General features: G+C 46.3%; 1 protein-coding gene and 1 pseudogene across 9 annotated transcripts in view, besides 2 other annotated features; one reads left to right on the top strand and one right to left on the bottom strand.

The window, feature by feature from the left end:
- Positions 1–12,974, top strand: part of PARP16 (poly(ADP-ribose) polymerase family member 16) — a 55,967-nt gene extending 42,993 nt beyond the window's left edge. For 6 of the 9 annotated variants that reach the window (XR_429460.4, XR_429459.4, XM_047432777.1 and 3 more), the window contains one exon: positions 9,068–9,427. Coding sequence is in view for 4 of the 9 variants with exons in the window: in XM_047432777.1 (XP_047288733.1) it covers positions 9,068–9,088 (21 nt within the window). In the remaining 5 variants the exon portion in view is untranslated. Of the gene's footprint in view, positions 1–9,067; positions 9,428–11,999 lie in introns of those variants that run through there. The other 3 variants (XR_001751341.3, XR_007064469.1, XR_001751342.3) reach the window with 3 other exon arrangements.
- Positions 3,122–3,622: an enhancer, noted in NCBI's record as "H3K4me1 hESC enhancer chr15:65532607-65533107 (GRCh37/hg19 assembly coordinates)". NCBI's record gives its function as "activates a minimal SCP1, AML or CMV promoter by ChIP-STARR-seq in primed H9 embryonic stem cells {active_cell/tissue: H9 hESC(primed)}" and the evidence as "EXISTENCE:reporter gene assay evidence [ECO:0000049][PMID:30033119]".
- Positions 3,623–4,123: an enhancer, noted in NCBI's record as "H3K4me1 hESC enhancer chr15:65532106-65532606 (GRCh37/hg19 assembly coordinates)". NCBI's record gives its function as "activates a minimal SCP1, AML or CMV promoter by ChIP-STARR-seq in primed H9 embryonic stem cells {active_cell/tissue: H9 hESC(primed)}" and the evidence as "EXISTENCE:reporter gene assay evidence [ECO:0000049][PMID:30033119]".
- On the bottom strand, positions 13,924–14,030 carry RNU6-686P (RNA, U6 small nuclear 686, pseudogene; annotated as a pseudogene).

The following is a 21,664-nucleotide window of genomic DNA, read 5'->3' as shown; positions in this document are numbered from 1 at the left end:
GGAGCCTACCAGACAGGAGACAGGGCCTTGGGAGTCACAATAAGGACTTAGGGAGGAGTGAGGGGAAGGCCCTGAGGGTTTACACAAAAGTGTGACACATATTCAAGAATAAATATGTAATGGAATTTATATAATAGTTAAAAACCTTCCCACAAAAAAAAATAAAATGAAACCCTCCAGGCCCAGATGCCTTCACTAGTGAACTCTACTAAACATTTAAGGAAGAAATAATACCAACTTGATATAAAATCTTCCAGAATATTGAAAAGGAGGGAATACTTCCCAACTTATTCTATGAGGCCAGCCTTACCCTGATACCAAAACCAGACAGAGATATTCCAAGAAGGCATGGCCACTCACGCCTGTAATCCCAGCACTTTGGGAGGTCAAGGAGGGTGGATCACTTGAGCTCAGGATTTCAAGGCCAGCCTGGGCAACATGGTGAAACCTTGTCCCTACAAAAAAGACAAAAATTAGCCAGGTATGGTGGTGCATACCTGTAGTCCCAGCTACTTGGGAGGCTGAGGCAGGAGGACCACTTGAGCCTGGGGAGGCGGAGGTTGCAGAGCTGAGATTGCGCCACTGCACTCCAGCCTGGGCAACAGAGCCAGACCTACTCTCTAAAAACAACAACAAAATCATACTTCATGGTTAAAGATTGAATGCTTTCACTCTAAGATTGAGAATGAGGCAAGAAATATCTGTTCTTACCACTTCTATTCAAGATTATACTGGGGGTCCTAGTCAATGCAATATAGGAAGAAAAATATAAACCATATAGTTTGGAAAGAAAAAAGTAAAACTGTCTTTATTTATAAATGACATATATATGGAAAATCTTAAGTAATCTAGGAAACCTAAAATGAGTAAATGAGGGACCAGGCGCAGTGGCTCACGCCTGTAATTCCAGCACTTTGGGAGGCTGAGGTGGGCGGATCACCTGAGGTCAGGAGTTCGAGACCAGCCTGGCCAGCATGGTGAAACCCTGTCTCTACTAAAAATACAAAAATTAGCCAGGAGTGGTGGCAGGCACCTGTAATCCCAGCTACTCAGGAGGCTGAGGCAGGAGAATCGCTTGAACCTGGGAGGCAGAGGTTGCAGTGAGCCAAGATCATGCCACTGCACTCCAGCCTGGCCAGCCGAGCAGGACTCCATCTCAAAAAATAAATAAATAAATAAATAAAATGAATAACTGAGGTTAGCAAAGTTGCAGGATACAAGATTAATATATGAAAACTAATTGTGTTTCTCTATATAAGCAAAAAACACTTGGAAATTGACATTATAAAAACAATCTATAATACCATCAGAACTCCAAAACAGGGATAAATCTGACAAAAGATGTGCAAGCAATTAAAGAAGATATAAATAAGTGGTGAGAGATACTGTGTTCATGGATCAGAAGACCTGATGTTTTCAAGATTACAATTTTCTGAAATTGGCATATAGATTCAAAATAATTCCTGTCAAAATTGCAGCAATCTTTTTTTTTTTGTAGTAAACAAGCTGATTCTAAATGTATGTGGAAATGCAAAGGACCTTGAATAGCCATAACAATTTTTTAAAGTATTATGCAATTAGATTACTGGCCCTACCTGATTTCAAGACTACAGACAGAGCTACAATAATCAAGACAGTGTGGTATTGATGTAAAGATAAACATATAGATCACTGAAAAAGAAAAGGCCATCCAGAAATAGAGATATACACATATTATCAATTGATTTTTTATGAAGGTGACAAAGTACCTTTGGGGAAAAGATAGTATTTTCAACAAATGGTGCTAGAACAACTGGATATCTCATGGCAAACAAAATGAACCTCTATCCTTACTTCACACCATACACAAAAATTAATCCAAGTGGGCCACAAATCTAATTACAAGAGCAAAAACTATACAACTTCTAGAAGAAGACGTAGGGGAAAATCTTTATAACCTTAGGTTGGGCAAAACACTAATAATCAGTGAAAAGGTTTATAAACTTCATTAAAATTTAAAACTTTTGCTCTCTAATGATACCACTAGAAAAACGAAAAGACAACTGTCGGTGGGAGAAAATATTTGCAAAACATATATCCAACAAAGGACTTGTATCTAGAATATATTTTTTAAAAACTTCCTTATATACTTAGAATATATGAAGAATAAATGATTTGTATCTAGAATACATAAAAATATATACACTCAATATAAAAAACTAATGTAAAAAAATGAACAAAAATTTTCAACGGACACTTTGCTGAAGAAGATACACAAATTGCAAATAAGCACATGAAAGGATCCTCTTTGGTTATAAGAAATGTAAACTAAAACATAGTGAAATACCACTGCACACCCACTAAAAAAGCGAAAATTAAAAGACTGACCATATGAAGTGTTGGCAAGGATGTGAAACAACTATAACCAGTTCCACACTAGCGGTAGGAATGTATAAGCACTTTAGAAAACTGGCCGGGCATGGTGGTTCATGCTTGTAATCCCAGCACTTTGGGAGGCCAAGGTGGGCGGATCACCTGAGGTCAGGAGTTCGAGACCAGCCTGGCCAACATGGTGAAACCCCGTCTCTACTAAAAACACAAAAATTAGCTGGGTGTGGTGGCACACGCCTGTAACCCCAGCTACTTGGGAGGCTGAGGCAGAAGAATCACTTGAACCTGGAAGGCAGAGGTTGCAGTGAGCTGAGATCATGCCACCACTGCACTTCAGCCTAGGCAACAGAGTGAGACTCCATCTCAAAAAAAAAAAAAAAAGTTTGGACAGGCATGATGGCTCATACCTGTAATCCCAATACTTTGGGAGGCTGAGGGGGGCAGATCACTTGAGGTCAGGAGTTCAAGACCAGCCTGGCCAACATGGCAAAACCCCACCTCTACTAAAAAAATACAAAAAATTATCCAGGTTTGGTGGTGTGCACCTGCAGTCCCAGCTACTTGGGAGGCTGAGGCACGAGAATTGCTTGAACACAGGAGGCGGAAGTTGCAGTGAGCCGAGATTGCACCACTGCACTCCAGCCTAGGCAACAGAGTGAGACTCTGTCTCAAAACAATAAAAATAGAAACAGTTTTGCAATTTCTCAAAAAGTTAAACATACACCTACCACATGATCCAGTCACTTCTCTCCTAGGTATTTACCCAAGAAAAACGACAGCAGAAGCTCATACAAAGACCTATACATGAATGGTTACAGCAGCCTTGCATATAATAGCTAAAAACTGGACAGCCCAAATGTTCATCATCAAGTGAATGGGTAAAAAATTGTGGTATATTCATACAATGGAATACTTATTACTCAGCAATAAAAAAAATACTGATACAATGAACATGGATGAATTTCAAAATTATTAAGCCATATAAAAAAGAGTATATAGGCCAGGCACAGCAGCTTGCGCCTGTACTTTCAGCACTTTCAGAGGCTGAGGTGGGCGATTGATTGAGTTCAGGAGTTTGAGACCAGCCTGGGCAACATGGTGAAACCCCATTCTACAAAAAAATTGGCCGGGCGTTGTGGCTCACGCCTGTAATCCCAACACACACACACACACACACACACACACACACACACACACTAGCCCCCCCCACCACACACACACACACTAGCCAGGCGTGGTGGCGGGCGCCAAGCTACTTGAGAGGCTGAGGCAGCAGAATGGCGTGAACCCGGGAGGTGGAGCTTGCAGTGAGCCGAGCCACTGCTCTCCAGCCTGGGCGACAGAGCGAGACTCTGTCTCAAAACAAAAAAAAGAAAAGAAAAAAAACATTAGCCGAGCATGTCGTGGTTCATGCCTGTAGTCCCAGCTACTTGGGAGGCAGATGTGGGAGGATTGCTTGAGCCCAGGAGGTCAAGGCTGCAGTTGCAGTGAGCCGTGATCGCGCCATTGCACGCCAGCCTGGGTGACGGAGTGAGACCCTGTATTTAAAAAAAAAAAAAAAAAAAGGTCAGACGCGGTGGCTCACGCCTGTAATCCGAAAACTTTGGGAGGCCGAGGTGAGCGGATCATGAAGTCAGGAGATCGAGACCATCCTAGTTAACGCAGTGAAACCCTGTCTCTACTAAAAATACAAAAAATTAGCCAGGCGTGGTGGAAGGTGCCTGTAGTCCCAGCTACTCGGGAGGCTGAGGCAGGAGAATGGCGTGAACCTGGGAGGCGGAGCTTGCAGTGAGGGGAGATCGCGCCACTACACTCCAGCCTGGGCGACAGAGCAAGACTCTGCCTCAAAAAAAAAAAAAAAGAAAAAATTACATACTATTTTCTATCACATAAAATTCAGAAGATGTAAACTAGTTGGTAATGGCAGAAAGCATATCAGTCATTGCCTAGGAATGGGAGGTGGGGAAGGGAAGTTGGATTTCAAAGGAGCACGAGAAAACTTTTGGAGGTCATAGGTATAGTTCTTTTTCATTTTTTCTTTCTTTTCTTTTTTTTTTCTTTTCTCTCTTTTTTTTTTTTTTTTTTTTTTTTTTTTTAGGCAAAGTCTTGCTCTGTTGCCAGGCTAGCGTGCAGTGGTGGGATCTCAGCTCACTGCAACTTCTGCCTCCCAGGTCCAAGTGAATCTCCTGCCTCAGCCTCTTGAGTAGCTGGGACTACAGGCGCACACCACCACACCCGGCTAATTTTTGTATTTTTAGTAGAGACCGCAGTTTCACCATGTTGGCCAGGATGGTCTCGATCTCTTGACCTCGTGATCCGCCCACCTCAGCCTTCCAAAGTGCTAGGATTACAGGCATGAGCCACCGCACCCAGCCTTCCTTTTTTTCTTTGAGTCGGGATCCCACTCTGTCACCCAGGCTGCTGTGCAGTAGTGCAATCACAGTTCACTGCAGCCTCAAACTCCCAGGCTCAGAGAATCCTCCTGCCTCAGCCTCCCAAGTAGCTGGGACTACAGGCACATGCCATCATACCTGGCTAATTGGTTTTTATTTTTTGTAGAAATAGGGTCTCACTATGTTGCCTAGGCTGGTCTCAAACTCATGGCCTTAAGCAGTGCTCCTGCCTCTGCCTCCTGAGTTGCTTGGATTACAGGTGTGAGCCACTGCACATAGATATGGTTGTTATCTTTATTATACTGATGCTTTCATGGGTATATGTCAAAACTTAGCAAATTGTAAGCTTGAAGTGTGCAATTAATTGCATGTCAACTATACCTCAATAAAGGTATTCAAAAAACTGCAACCTGATCTAATTTGTTTCTTAAAAAATCACCCTGGCTGCTGTAAGAAGGGATGGAGGGGGATGAGAGTCGACATGGGAGTCATCAGGCAGCTGGCACAGTCACCTGAGTGAGAGATGCTGCGGCTGCAGTGATGGCAGTGCGGAGTGGAATGGACAGATTTGAGAGAGATTATAAGACCTAAACAACAAGACAAGACTTGCTAGCAGTTTGGATAAACTGCATGAGGGAAATGGAGAAATCCAGGATAGCTATCACATTTCCAACTGGAGCATGGAGTGACTGGGGCAGCCTGGGCCAGGGACAGATGTGGTGGTGAGCGTGGAACAAGAGTTCTCTTTTCATCTACCTCTGGGGATGCCTGGGCTCCAGGAGAAGGGTCTGGATGGAGATAAAATTTGAGGATATTAGCAAATAAATGTTTTTTTTTCTTTTGAGGCAGAGTTTTTGCTCTTGTTGCCCAGGCTAGAGCGCAGTGGCATGATCTCAGCTCACTGCAAACTCTGCCTCCCGGGTTCAAGCAATTCTCCTGCCTCAGTCTCCCAAGTAGCTGGGATTACAGGCCCCACCATGCCCTGATAAATTTTTTGTATTTTTAGTAGAGGCAGGGTTTCACCATGTTGGCCAGGCTGGTCTCAAACTCCGGACCTCAGGTGATCCACCTGCCTCGGCCTCCCAAAGTGCTGGGATTACAGGCGTGAGCCACTGCGTCCAGCCAATAAATGAATGGTATTTTAAAGCCAAGTGAATGGATGAGATCATGTAGGGACAGAGAATAGAGAAAAAAGTAGTATGAGAACTGAGCCCGGGGCACCCCAACATTTAGAGGTCTCCTGAAGGAGAGGGAGCCTGTACAGCTCATCAGGAAGGAGCAGCTTGAGAAGTACCCAACTGCATTAATTTCCTGTGGCTGCTGTAACAAATTACCACAGACTGGGCAGCTTAGAACAACCAGAGATTTATTCTCTTACAGTTCTGGAGGCCAGAAGTTCAAGATCAGACCACTGGGCCAAAATCAAGGTGTTGGCAGGGCTGTACTCCCTCTGGAGGCTCTAGGGGAGATGTTGTTCTTTGACTCTTCCAGCTCTGGCAGCTGTTGGCCTTCCTTGACTTATAGCCACATCACTCCAATCTCCCTCTCTGTGGTCACACTACTTCCTCCTCTTCTGTTCTAATCAAATCTCCCTGTGCCTCACTCCTTATAAGACCCTAAGGACACATAGAATTTAGGGTCCACCCAGATAATCCAGGATGTCCTCCTCTTCTCAAAATCCTTAATTAATTACATCCATGAAGACCCTTTTTTCCAAATTTGGTTACATTCACAGGTTCTGGGAATTAGGATGTAGACACATCTTTTGGGACCACCTCTTAATCCATTACACCCACTGACTGACAAATAAGGGGTGACTCACCGAGTGATGCAAAATGGCAGGACTTCCTGTGTCTGGGAGGAGGGACTGAGTAGGTTAAGTGTAGGGTGCTCAGCCTGAAATCTCAGGCAAGGAGGTATAGGGCCAAGGCTGCAGCTGGCTTCAGCCTGTGTGGGAGAGTCTCATGGGGAGGGGAGGAACTGCAGATAGGAGGTTCCCAGCCCTCCCAGGCCTGACTCAGCGTCTGGCTGGGGCCATCTACACAGCAGCCAAAGTGATCTTTAAGTTGTAAATGTGTTCATATCACTCTCCAGTATGTGACCCTTCAACAGCTTTCCACACCTTTTTTCTTTTTTTTTTCTTTTTTTTTTTTTTTGAGACAGAGTCTTGCTCTGTCGCCCAGGCTAGAGTGCAGTGGTGCAATCTCGGCTCACTGCAACCTCTGCCTCCAGGGTTCAAGTGATTCTCCTGCCTCAGCCTCCCGAGTAGCTGGGACTACAGGTGCCCGCCACCACATCCAGCTAATTTTTTGTATTTTTAGTAGAGATGGGGTTTCACCATGTTGGCCAGGATGGTCTCGATCTCTTGACCTCGTGATCCGCCCACCTCGGCCTCTCAGAGTGCTGGGATTACAGGCATAAGCCACCGTGCCCAGCCAGCTTCCCACAACTTTTATGCGGAAGTCCAATACCATTACCCAGCCTACAGTGCCCAGGGGCCTGGCCCTAGCCCACCACTGCGGTCTTGTTTCATACTTCCTGTCCCTGCTAGCTGTCTCAAGACATACTAGCTGCCTCTCAGGCTGCTGTTTCTCCTACTCTAGGGCCTTGGCCTGGTATCCCCTCAGCCTGGAAGGCTCTTGTTCAACCCACTTCATTGAGTTAGCATCCAATGGTGTTCCAGATCTCAATCCAAATGTCTCTTCTGCAGAGAATTCTCTCTTGGTTCCCTGGTCCAGGTCATAAAAATGTGTCATATAAATTCTCATGGCTCCCTGGAATCATCTTCCATAGGACCATCAAAGTTCATAATTGTGTACATATTTGTAATGTTATTTTATTAATGTTTGGCTCTACCACTAGACTGTAAGCACCACAGGGTTTGTAGTATTCACCGTTCTATTCTAAGTGCCTTGTCCAGTGCTTGACAAACAGAAAGGAGATGTGGTGGGTTTAAAACATGTCTGCAGGGCTGGGCACAGTGGCTCACGCCTGTAATCCCAGCACTTTGGGTGGCCGAGGTGGGTGAATCACCTGAGGTCAGGAGTTTGAGACCAGCTTGGCCAACATGATGAAACCCTGTCTCTACTAAAAATACAAAAAAATAGCTGGGCATGGTGGCACATGCCTGTAATCCCAGCTACTTGGGAGGCTGAGGCAGAAGAATCGCTTGAACCTGAGAGGCGGAGGTTGCAGTGAGATCGTGCCACTGCACTCCAGCCTGGGCAACAGAGAGAGACTCAGTCTCAAAAAAAAAAAAAAAAAAACCATATCTGCAATTTTTTTTTTTTTTTAAGACAGGGTCTCACTCTGTCGCCCAGGCTGGAGTATAGTGACGCCATTATGAATCAAAGGTAAGTTGAGCGATTAAACAGCTCACTGCCCCCTCGACTCCAGGCTCAGGCGATCCTCCCACCTCAGCCTCCTGAGTAGCTGGGACTACAGGCATGTACCACCATGCCCGGCTAATTTTTTTTTTTTTTTTTTTTGTAGAGATAGGGTTTTACCATATTGCCTGGGCTGGTGTTGAACCCTGGGCTCAAACAAACTGCCCACCTCATCCTCCCAAAGTGCTGGGATTACAGATATGAGCCACCATGCCTGGCCGGCAAATTTTTTGACATCCTTTCCATCAAGAGGTAGAATCTAATTGACCTTCCTTTAAATATGGGCTGGTCTAATGACTTGTATCTAATTAACAGAATGTGACAGAAATGCTGTGTGACATCCGTGGCTAGGTTCTAAAAGGTAATGTGGCTTCCTCCTGACTCATTCTCTTTTAATTTTTATTTTATTTTATTTTTTATTAATTTTTTTTGGGGGGGACGGAGTCTCTTTCTGTCGCCCAGGCTGAAGTGCAGTGGCGCGATCTCGGCTCACTGCAAGCTCCGCCTCCCAGGTTCATGCCATTCTCCTGCCTCAGCCTCCCAAGTAGCTGGGACTACAGGCGCCCACCACTACGCCCGGCTAATTTTTTTTTTTAAATATACTTTAAGTTCTAGGGTACGTTTGCACAACGTGCAGTTTTGTTACATATGTATACATGTGCCATGTTGGTGTGCTGCACCCATTAACTGGTCATTTACATGAAGTATATCTCTTAATGCTATCCCTCTCCCCCACCCCTTTTTTTTGTATTTTTAGTAGAGACGGGGTTTCACCATATTAGCCAGGATGGTCTTGATCTCCTGACCTCATGATCCACCCGCCTCAGCCTCCCAAAGTGCTGGGATTACAGGCGTGAGCCACTGTGCCCGGCCCCTTTTTAAATTTTTTTAAATCTCTTTTTGGATGCTCCCTTTCAGGACCCACCTGCCATGCTGTGAGGACACCCAGGCCACATAGAGAGAGTGAGGCCACATGTAGGTTTTACAGCCAGAAGCCCCACTGAAAACCAAACCTGCAACCAGCATCAACTGCCAAACATGTACTGAAGAGGCTGAGATGATTCCAGCACTTGTGGATGACTGCAACCACATGAGAGACCCAGAGCAAGAGCTACCTAGCTGAGCCCAGTTACTCCCAGAATCATGAGAGAACTATGTAATTGATTGTTATTACTATATAAGCCACTAAGTTTACATATGATATGTTATGCAGCAGTAGACAGCTGGAACAGGAGCCAATAAACACCGAATGAATAAATGTGGATAGGTCTGGTTGAATGAACATTGCGTGTGTTTCAGCTTTGTGAAAGGTTTAACTGACAACTCTCAGCTTCTCCCCCAAGAGGTCTTGGAGATTCTGGAAGCCCCAGTTCAGAAACTCAAGCTCACCCAAGGAGAGAATCCCGGAAACTCTCAGCTCAGGACAGGAAACATGGAGAGGCTGTCAAAAGTTAGCTCTGAGCCTGATGCAGTGGCTCACACCTACAGGTAATCTCAGTGCTTTGGAGGCAGACATGGGAGGATCTCTTAAGGCCAGGAGTTCAAGACCAACCTGGGCAACATTCTTATTCTTGGGCCCATGGATAGTTTCAGGGGAGTAAAAACATACATTTTATCTGTGTGTATGTGCATTTTCCCGAGGAGAAGTTATCCAAGCTCTGTTATCAGATTCTCGAGTCTGTGTCCAAAAAATGTTAAGAACTACTGATCTAGTCCAACTATCTCAATATCTACGTTAAGATACTAAGATATTTTATGGTACTAAAGTGGACTAAGTACCCTGAATAAACTTCTGAAAACAATTATGGATAAAAGAAAAAAAATTTTTTTACTGCACTGATGAGTTGGCAAGAAAGTAAGGAATACTCAGGCCAAAAAAGTCACGAATTCAAAGGCAAGTTGCGCAACGAAACTGACTTTTGCCTTTTGGACATTTTTATTTTATTTTTATTTTTTATTGTCTAACCTATTTGCAATTTAAATTTTTTTTTTTTTTTTTAATTTTTGTGATATAGTCTTGCTCTGTCACCCAGGCTGGAGTGCAGTGGCATAGTCCCGGCTCACTGCAACCTCCACCTCCAAGGCTCAAGGGATTCTCGTGCCTCAGCCACCTGAGTAGCTGGGACTACAGGCGCATGCCAGCCTGTCCCACTAATTTTTGTATTTTTAGTAGAGATGGGTTTTTTCCATGTTGGCCAGGTTGGTCTCGAACTGGCCTCAAGTGATCTGCCTGCCCTGGCCTCCCAAAGTACTGGGATTACAGGCATGAGCCACCGTGCCCGGCTTCTCTTAACAAGTTATTTTTTGTTTTTGTTTGTTTGTTTTGGTTTTGTTTTTTTTGAGACGGAGTCTCGATCTGTCACCCAGGCTGGAGAGCAGTGGCGCGATCTTGGCTCACTGCAAGCTCCGCCTCCTGGGTTGACACCATTCTCCTGCCTCAGCCTCCCTAGCAGCTGGGACTACAGGCGCCCGGCTAATTTTTTTGTATTTTTAGTAGAGACGGGGTTTCACCATGTTAGCCAGGATGGTCTCAATCTCCTGACCTGGTGATCCGCCCACCTCGGCCTCCCAAAGTGCTGGGAATACAGGCGTGAGCCACCGCACCTGGTCAACAGGTTTTTAAGTGTACAGTTCAGTATTAACTATAAGCACAATACTGTACAGCAACTCTCTAGAACTTATTCATCTTGCGTGACTGAAACGACATCATTTTAATTTTTTAAAATTTTAAACTTTTTAATTTTTTATTTTTTGAGACAAGGTTTTGCTCTGTTGCCCAGGCTGGAGTGCAGTGGCACCACCATGCTCAACTGTTTTTTTTGTTTGTTTTGTTTTGTTTTGTTTTTTGTAGAGATGGGGCTCTCACTATGTTGGCTAGGGTGGTCTTGAACTTGTGGTTCTCACGCGATCCTCCCTCCTCAGCCTTCCAAAGTGCTGTAATTACAGGTGTGACCCACTGCACCCAGCCCATTTTTTATTTATTTATTTGTTTTTTCTTTTTGTGGAGAATGGGGTCTTGCTATGTTGTCCAGGCAGTTCTTGAACTCTTGGGCTCAAGCTAACCTTCTGCCTCTGCCTCCCTAAGTGTAGGGATTATAGGTGTGAGCCACTGAGCCTGGTCCGGTGAGTAATTTTTAACTCAGTAAACTTGAACTTGAATTTTCATGGTCTCATGGGAGTGAGTGATTAGAGAGAACCAGTGGTGTGCTAGTAACTGGCTCTCCAACAAAACAAAGCACTGTTTTGTGTACAGTTCAGTATTAACTATAAGCACAATGTTGTACACACATTTTTTAGTGTTTCAGTTTTTGTTGATTTCCATTAGGTAAATGTTCCCACCATAGATTTCAAGCCGTCAGTGGTACTAAGAACTGACACGAAAAATATTTGGTTCTTGTGAGCTGATAGGAGCAAACTCCAATACACACTACTGAGAGAAACTCAGGGCTCCTTTAAGGTGGGAAGTCTAAAAAACCTAAAATTGGGACTTCAGTGAATGTGTGAGCTAGATATAAACACCACTACCTCCCAACAGACTGAAAAGAAAAATGCCTATCTTAATTTCCCTATTCTTAAGAGAAAAATACCACTCCCAAAGTGCTGGGATTACCAGTGTTGAGCCACCATGCCCATCCCCCTTGCCCTCTTTTGCTATGTGCTTTAGGAGGTAGGTGACGGTGTAGTCTAAACTGGCACAGCAGCTGGAGGACACAACTGTAGGTACAAACAATAAGCAAGAATTCATTGGCACTAAAAATTTTTAAAAAGAATTATAAAATCAGTGAAAAGATATCTTAAAAGTAAGAAAAAACAATGACATGATACAAACAAAAACTGTATTTGCCACCAGCAGGCAGAAATAAAAAGTGATCCTAGATGGAAAAAATGAGAGACAAGAAGGAATATGGAACAAAGAAAATGGTACATGTGTGGGTAAGTCTAAACAAATGTTGTATTAACATTAATAACAATGTCTTATGGGCTTAAAAACACAGGCCAAGCATGGCGGCTCACACCCGTAATTGCAGCACTTTGGGAGGCCGAGATGGGCAGATCACTTGAGGTCAGGAGTTTGAGACCAGCCTGGCCAACGTGGTGAAACTCCGTCTCTACTAAAAATACAAGTATTAGCTGGGAGTGGTGGTGCGCCTGTAGTCCCAGCTACTCTGGAGGGCGAGGCACAAGAATCTCTTGAACTGGGGAGGCAGAAGTTGCAGTGAGCCAAGATCGTGACCCTGCACTTTAGCCTGGGTGACTCAGAGCGAAACTCTCAAAAAAAAAAAAAAGGTATAATTTGCAAACTATGTAAGGAGAAAAATGAAATAAAGAATAATTAAGAAAGCCAAAAAGAATAGAAAAGGAAACCTTAGAAAAGGTGGGGAAAATACCAAACAATAGGATATACGTAAATAAATAACGTGTGTGCGCACACATGCACATATCAGTATATTAATAAATGTAAATGGACTCAATGCCTCAGTTAAAAGACAAAGATTGCTAGACTAGACAAAGCAAATGAACCCAGTTATAAGCTGTTCACAAGAGGCATATCTAGGCCGGGCATGGTGGCTCACGCCTGTAATCCCAGCAGTTTGGGAGGCTGAGGCAGGGAGATCACCTGATGTCAGGAGTTCGAGACTGGCCTGGCCAACATGGTGAAACCCCATCTCTACAAAAATGTAAAAACTAGCCAGGCATGATGGCAGGTGCCTGTAATTCCAGTTACTCCGGAGGCTGAGGCAGGAGAATCACTTGACCCTGGGAGGCGGAGGTTGCAGTGAGCTGAGATCGCACCACTGCACTCCAGCCCAGGTGACAGAGCAAGACTCCATCCATCAAAAAAAAAAAAAAAAAAAAAAAAAGGGCATATCTAAATAAAACATAAGAATACAGAAAGGTTGAAAGTAAGAGGATGAAAAGAATCTGTCAAATACTAACCAAAGAAGGTTGATATGTCTGTATTAATTTTAGTCCACATAGACTTTAAGGCAAAAGCATTATGAGAGATAAAAGGGTCACTTCATAATGACAAAAGGTCCAAATCATCAGAAAGAACAATCCTACATTTATACCCACCTAATAACACAACTTAAATATATATAAAGCAAAAAAAAGGTAAGGAAAGTAAAATAAAAATAGGTAAATTCACAACACAGTGGAAGATGTTAGCACACTATTAAAGTAGTATAATTACTACTAATTTTTAGTAATTACTGATATATATATATATATATATTTTATTATTTTTTAAATTAGCTACTTGGGAGTCTAAGGTGGGAGGATCACTTGAGCCTGGGATTTTTGAGGCTGCAGTGAACTGGGTCATGCCACTGCACTCCAGCCTGGGCAACAGAGCAAGACTCCGCTCCAAAAAACAAAATCTAGCTGCTTTGTACTGTTCCTCTTCCCTATCCTGCTTCCCCTATTTCCTACTGGTTTCTCCCGGGACCATTTCTTTTTTTTTTTTTTTTTTTTTTTTGATACAGAGTCTCACTCTGTCACCCAGACTGGAGTGCAGTGGTTTGATCTCAGCTCACTGCAACTTCTGCCTCCTGAGTTCAAGTGATTCTCTTGCCTCAGCATCCTGAGTAACTGGGATTATAGGCACGAGCCACCATGCCCGGCTAATTTTGTGTATTTTTAGTAGAGATGGGCTTTTGCCATGTTGGCCAGGCTGGTATAGAACTCCCAACCTCAGGTGATCCGCCCGCCTTGGCCTCCCAAAGTGCTGAGATTACAGGCGTGAGCCACCATGCCTGGCCTGTTTTTCTTATTAAAATATGGAATCCTTCACAAATTTGTATGTCATCCTTGTGCAGAGGCCATGCTAATCTTCTCTGTATCATTCCAGTTTTAGTATATGTGCTACCGAAGTGATCACTGCCATTCGTTTTTTTAAATTCAAATGATTATACCTCTTCCAGGAAGGCTTCCCTGAGAGCCATCCTCAGAATGATGCTCCAGAGGGGGCCCAGAACAGGTGCTCCACACTAACCCATGCATGTTATTGTCCCTACCTACATTTACCTTAGTGTTCTATAGTGACCATTCCATCTCCCCGACGATGGGGTAAGTTCCTCAAAGGTACTCTGTTCTTTTATTTTTTATTTTTTTTGAGACAGAGTTTTCCTCTTGTTGCCCAGGCTGGAGTGCAATGGCAAGATCTCGGCTCACCGCAGCCTCTGCCTCCCGGGTTCAAGCGATTCTCCTGCCTCAGCCTCCCGAGTAGCTGGGATTACAGGCATGCACCACCACACCTGACTAATTTTCTATTTTTAGTAGAGACGGGATTTCTCCATGTTGGTCAGGTTGGTCTTGAACTCCCAATCTCAGGTGATCCGCCCGCCTCGGCCTCCCAAAGTGCTGGGATTACAGGCATGAACCACCGCGCCCGGCCTACTTTGTTGTTTTCTGTACCCCCAGCACCTAGCTCAGGGCCTGGCACATAGCAGAAGCTAAAAATATTTGTTTACTATCACAAAGAAGATGATGGAAAAAGAAAAACAAAACAAAACAAATTTGTAGGGGGCTGGGTGCAGTGGCTCATGCTTGTAATCCCAGCACTTTGAAAGGCTGAGACCAGGGATTGCTTGAGCCCAGGAGTTTGAGACCAGCTTAGGTGAAGTAGCAAGACCCTGTCTCTACAAAAAATAATAATAATAAAAAATTAGCCAGGCACGGTGGTGTGTTTGTGGTCCCAGCTACTCTGGAGGCTAAGGTGGGAGGACTGCTTGGGCCCAGGAGGTTGAGGCCGCAGTGAACCATGATCACACCACTGCACTTCCGCCTGGATGACAGAGCCAGACCCTTTCTCAAAAACAAAAAGATTTTTTTAATTGTAGAATGAATCAGTGAATGCAGCTTACATGTGGTAGAGGCAGCTTTAATCTGCATTTGGCTGCAAAGCCTGAGCGTTACCAGGGACTGGGGGCAGACTTATTGAGACTGAAGTTTTTTTCAGCCTCAGTAGTTCCCTGTTCCCGGCCTTGCTGAGGCTGTAGGTGCTTCTAAAGAGGCCACAGCCCAGCCCAGGGGACTTGAGTTCCCCTATGCCCATACTTTTCAATGTACCCTCCTTTCAGTGTGCCCTCAGTTGGAAAAATAAACCTGGGTGGCACTGTAACTACCCCAAGGTGGTGGGTTGTGCAAGCCTCCTCTCCTGGACTCCCCCTCATTTGGGGCTCAGTCTGGTGGCACTGCTGACCCTCCTCTCCTTCCTGCCTTCTGTGTGGTGCCCTACACCATGCTCCCCATCACTCACTCCCTCTCCTTTCCACCTCTGGCCAGGAGCCTGGGACACAGGGCTGTGAGAAACCCTTTGAAGAATAATGTCTCCAGAAAGCTCCTGTTTCTCAACCATAGTTTGCCTGAGGAAAACAGCGCTTCCTCATGGGGCTGAAGTCTCCCACGGGAGTCTCTAGCCACCAGATCTGTTAAATAACCTTATTGAAGAACCTCGGGCCTGGGACACCAAGGGTTCTGGCCCTCTCCTGGGGGCCTGGCCTTTGGGTGAAGCTCCCCGAGACAGGGGCTGTGCCTCCCCTGGACAGAGGCTGTTCTTTCCTCTGTGTAAGAACATGGTAACTCTGGGATATGGCACCGGGGCAGGTGGACACACTGGTCATGGTGAGAGACTGAGCATCTTCAGCCAGTGGGGCTCTCTGCTGCCTTTTCCCAAGGCGCCTGGCTCTCAGCCGTTTTCCTCCCTCTGGGCTGTAGAATTGTTTGCAGATCCTCTCTTCTCAAGAGGAGGAAAGGAGATGTTGGCTCTCTCCACGAAGCACCCAAACACCCTCTCCTCCCCTAGCACAGACAACTGGTTCTCTCCACATTTAACTCCTTTTTTTTTTTTTTTTTTTTGAGACGGAGTCTCGCTCTGTAGCCCAGGCTGGAGTGCAGTGGTGCGATCTCGACTCACTGCAACCTCCACATCCCAGGTCCCGGTTCAAGCAATTCTCCTGCCTCAGCCTCCCAAGTAGCTAGGATTGCAGGCGCCCACCACCATGCCTGGCTAATTTTTTGTATTTTTAGTAGAGATGGGGTTTCACCATTTTGGCCAGGCTGATCTCGAACTCCTGATCTCAGGTGATCCACCCACCTCGGCCTCCCAAAGTGCTGGGATTACAGGCATGAGCCACCACGCCCGGCCCATGTTAAATTCTTTAGCAACTGCTGCCCTTTACCTCCAAGTGCAGTGAAGGAGATAAAAAGGGAACAAGGTGACCTTGACCCTGTGGGGAAAAGCAAGAGAGATCAGATTGTTACTGTGTCTGTGTAGAAAGAAGTAGACATAGGAGACTCCATTTTGTTCTGTACTAAGAAAAATTCTTCTGCCTTGAGATTCTGTTAATCTATAACCTTACCCCCAACCCCGTGCTCTCTGAAACATTTGCTGTGTCAACTCAGAGTTGAATGGATTAAGGGCGGTGCAAGATGTGCTTTGTTAAACAGATGCTTGAAGGCAGCATGCTCCTTAAGAGTCATCACCACTCCCTAATCTCAAGTACCCAGGGACACAAAAACTGCGGAAGGCCGCAGGGACCTCTGCCTAGGAAAGCCAGGTATTGTCCAAGGTTTCTCCCCATGTGATAGTCTGAAATATGGCCTCGTGGGAAGAGAAAGACCTGGCCGTCCCCCAGCCCGACACCCGTAAAGGGTCTGTGCTGAGGAGGATTAGTATAAGAGGAAGGAATGCCTCTTGCAGTTGAGACAAGAGGAAGGCATCTGTCTCCTGCCCGTCCCTGGGCAATGGAATGTCTCGGTATAAAACCCAATTGTATGTTCCATCTACTGAGATAGGGAAAAACCGCCTTAGGGCTGGAGGTGGGACCTGCGGGCAGCAATACTGCTTTGTAAAGCATTGAGATGTTTATGTGTATGCATATCTAAAAGCACAGCACTTAATCCTTTACATTGTCTATGATGCAAAGACCTTTGTTCACGTGTTTGTCTGCTGACCCTCTCCCCACTATTGTCTTGTGACCCTGACACATCCCCCTCTCGGAGAAACACCCACGAATGATCAATAAATACTAAGGGAACGCAGAGGCTGGCGGGATCCTCCATATGCTGAACGCTGGTTCCCCGGGTCCCCTTATTTCTTTCTCTATACTTTGTCTCTGTGTCTTTTTCTTTCCTAAGTCTCTCGTTCCACCTTACGAGAAACACCCACAGGTGTGGAGGGGCAACCCACCCCTACATGACCCCACAACCCACTCTCCAGGATCTGGGGAGAGTGGTTGGGGAGAGCAGGCTGTTGGTCAGCTACAAGCCCAGATGCTCTCTGGAGAGGACCTAGCCTGCCCAGCAGAAGGGGTCAGCAGGGTAGGTGTGTCGGGTCCTGGCCTGGGACAGGGCTGGTGGCTCTAAGGCACCTGCTTGTGTGCAGGTGGGAATCCTGAAGTCACAGAACTCATCTGGAGGACCCCTTACTTCCCTTCAAAGTGCTTTCCCTCCACCACATTTCAGTGGGATTTCAGGCATCCCTGGGGTCATATTTTTGGGAAAATGAGTGGTGTGACACCCTTGATCATCAAAGCAGCAGCTGGCACCTGTACAGGTCACCTTAGAAAGTGCTTTCCCAGGCCGGGCACAGTGGCTCATGCCTGTAATCCCAGCTCTTTGGGAGGCCAAGGCGGGCACATCACCTGAGGTCAGGAGTTTGAGACCAGCTGGGCCAACATGGTGAAACCCCCGTCTTTACTAAAAATACAAAAATTAGCTGGGCGTGGTGGTGCATACCTGTAAACCCAGCTACTCGGGAGGCTGAGGCAGGAGAATCACTTGAACCTGGGAGGTGGAAGTTGTAGGGAGCCAAGATTGTGCCACTGTACTCCAGCCTGGGCAACAGAGTGAGACTCCATCTCCAAAAAAAAAAAAAAAAAAAAAAAAAAAGTGCTTTCCCATCAAAGACTAATTGTCAACTGTGGCTGTGAGTGAAAATCACCTGGAGGGTTTTTGAAATATGCCAACATCCAAGCCCTATCCCAGAGCAATTAAATCAGAATCTCTGAGTGGGGCATGGGTGTTTTTTAATGCTCCTCAGATAACCTGAATGTGCAGCATTAGAACTCCACAAGGACCTTGAAAGCTAGATACTGTCATTATCCCCACTGTTCACATGGGCCATGGGGGCTCAGAGAGGTGAAGCCACTTGGCCAAGGTCAGAGGGCAAGTGGAGGGCAGGGGCTGAGTCTCAGATGGAAGCAAGCAGGTGGCCCCTTGCTTTGTCACTGAGGATCCAGGCTTCCTGTGGGTCCAGGAGGCCTCAGGCAGGCCTGGGAACTCACTTCATTGGCTGGGAAGACATTTCTGCCACCTCTTTCTCCAGGGTTGGACTGTGGCTCCTCCAAGCCCCAGAATACGGGTGGGTCCAGAACCTCCACATCCAGCTTCCGGTTCCTCTCACTGGAAAGACACGCCCTTTGGTGAGGGGGAGGAAGCATTTTTGAGGTGAAATGTTGTATCCCAGCCAGGAATGGAAAATATTAAAAGCCCATTGGCGCCAACAAGGTTCGCGCCAGGGCCAGAAAGTACGGAAAAGAGGAGGGACGTCCCTGCGGTGGAGGGTACAGTGGGGGTCAGCCAGGGGGCTGCCCACACCCTGTATCCCAGGCTGCCTCCATCTTCAGGGTTAGAGCAAGCTTCTCCTGGCCAGAGGAAGGTCCTTGGGTGATGACCCCAAGAGAAAAGCCCCTTGGTGTGTAAGTTGGTTTACCCCACATTCCAGAGAGGGTGGTGGGCATAGGGGTGTGTAGCCATTGAGAGTGAAATATCTTACTGGGAGTGTGTGAAGCCAGGCCAGCCCAGTCCATACACAGATTCTGAACATTCTGGGTGCTGGGATGCTGAGAGAAGGTGAGCCATGGTCCCTGTCTTCTAGGAGCTTCACCATAGAGATGGGGCAGGCAAAAGAACAATGTCAGTAAAGTGTGACAAACGCTTTGCTGGAGGGGTATACAGGGACTGTGCAAGACAGAAAAGGGACAATTAGTTCAGCCCAAGACTAGGAGGAAGGGTTACCAGAGTAGGTGGTACCTGGGCTGAGTCTTGCTACGAATAGATATTTCTAGAATTTGCACAAAGCTGGTGATTGGGTACATGCTCTTGGGAGTTAACTCTGTATTTGGAAAAAGAGACACGGAGACACAAACAAATGGACTAATTCCCCCCATGGGGGCTTCCTTTCCCACTGCCCACATCACATATGCAGTAAGGTACAAACATAAGGTATTGGATAATGTCTCAGAATTATTTTCCATCTACCCCTCTCCCACTGCCCATCACACACACTAGGGTACAGGCACACCTGTAGTCATAAACAATTACACACATACATATATCACATATGTGCAAAGTAGTGGAGAATGTACTAGAATTCTCAGTGAAAGAGCTGTTCTTGTGAACGAAATGCTTTAATAAGAACTGGGGGTTGAAGATGAGGCCCCTGGTGGTTGGGGATCTGCAGAAACAGGGCTTTGGAGCCTGGCAAAGCTGCTCTGCTCAAAAGAGGAAGAAGGGTCTGGAAAGAGGTGCGAGGAGCAGTGGTCGGAGAGGAAAAGGAGGGAGGAAGCCAGTGTCCCTCGGTCAAGTCTACCAACTGACAAAAGCTCACTGTGCATGACTGTTTGTTGTGGGAACTAAAGGGTGTGAGCTTCATACTGAAGTTGTGGAATGGGATAGGAAACCTGAGCCCCTATGCCGGGCGAGGTGGCTCACACCTGCAATCCCAGCACTTTGGGAGGCTGAGGCGGGTGAATCACTTGAGGTTGGGAGTTCGAGACCAGCCTGACCAATATGGTGAAACCCCACTTCTACTAAAAATACAAAAAAAATAACCAGGCATGGTGGCCTGTGGTCCCAGCCACTCAGGAGGCTGAGGCAGGAGAATCGCTTGAACCCAGGAGGCGGAGGTTGCAGTGAGCCAAGATCATGCCACTGCACTCCAACCTGGGTGACAGAGTGAGTCCATCTCAAAAAAAAAAAAAAAAAAAAACAAGAAAAGGAAAAAGGCCGGGTGTGTTGGCTCACTCCTGTAATCCTAGCACTTTGGGAGGCCAAGGCAGGTGAATCATGAGGTCAGGAGATCGAGACCATCCTGGCTAACATGGTGAAACCCCGTCTCCACTAAAAAATACAAAAAAATTAGCCAAGCGTGGTGGAGGGCGCCTGTATTCCCAGCTACTCGGGAGGTTGAGGCCAGAGAATGGCGTGAACCTGGGAGGCAGAGCTTGCAGGGAGCTGAGATCGCGCCACTGCATTCCAGCCTGGGCAACAGAGCGAGACTCTGTCTCAAAAAAAAAAAAAAAAAAAAGAAAGCCCAAGCCCGAAGTGGAGGAGGCTGAGAAGCAGAGGAGGCTTCCTGGAATTGATACAGTCTTTGAGGGCTTTGGTGTCCACTGGCCGTGGGACAGTGGGGTTCAAAGCAATTTCATCTGGATTTCAAGGGCAGAGAGGCTCCCAGTTGATGTTATGCAGACTCTATCATGGGCTTTCCCGCCCACCGAATCTCCTCATTTTACTGTGGAGGAAACTGAAGTCCAGAGAGGGAATGTGAAATGCCTAAGGTCACACTGCATTTGGGGATCAGAGCTGGGCGTGGGCATATATGAGCTGTGACACACCCCACCAGGCTTACATGTTCTCGTGCAGCCACTCACAAATACATACACTCAGAGTTCTGTACAACAAAACCCCTTTTCCTCAGGATGGCCTGGGTGAATCATCATCCTTGTTCCCAGAGTGTGGAGCCTCTGCATCTGCCTGGCACCCTGGAGGGAAGATCCAGGTTCACCAAATACAGAGAGGAACCAACTCTCCCTACCATCCTGTATGAAAGGCCACTGTGATAAAACAGGAAGATCAGAGGACTGGAAATTAGACCTGGCCTGGGTTTGAGCTGACTCAAATTCCTAAGCATCTCCAGGACCCAGGTCTTGGTAGAATTCTGGTATACCTCGCACTGTGTGCTTTCCCCACTAATTATGATCAGGCTCAGGCTGAAATGAAAATCAACAGCAGCTTTTGTTTTGTTTTAAATAGAGATGAGGTCTCACTATATCACCCATGCTGGTCTCAAACTCCTGGGCTTAAACGATCCTCTCATCTTGGCCTCCCAAAGTGCTGGGATTACAGGCGTGAGCCACTGCACCTGGTTTCAACAACAGCATTGATGGGTGAAGTAGCAGAAAGATGAAGGCAGCTGATGCACTCTCGGGGCATTTTCCCTCTGTTTGATGGAAGCTGGTTAATTGAGTGCAGAGGATTTAAAACCTATCTGGCCCAGGCCTGGCACGGTGGCTCACTCCTGTAATCTCAGCACTTTAGGAGGCTGAGGCGGGCAGATCACTTGAGGCCAGGAGTTCAAGACCAGCCTCCCCAACATGGCGAAACCCTGTCTCTATTAAAAATACAAAAATTAGCTGGGCATGGTGGCACATGCCTGTAGTCCCAGCTACTCAGGAGGCTGAGGCAGGGGAATCGCTTGAACCCGGGAGGTGGAGGTTGCAGTGGGCC

Source organism: Homo sapiens, chromosome 15 (genome assembly GCF_000001405.40).
Source record: "Homo sapiens chromosome 15, GRCh38.p14 Primary Assembly".
Lineage (NCBI taxonomy): Eukaryota > Metazoa > Chordata > Mammalia > Primates > Hominidae > Homo > Homo sapiens.
The sequence above is the reverse complement of the archived record's forward strand: the minus strand, read 5'-3'. Positions and strand labels throughout refer to the sequence as shown.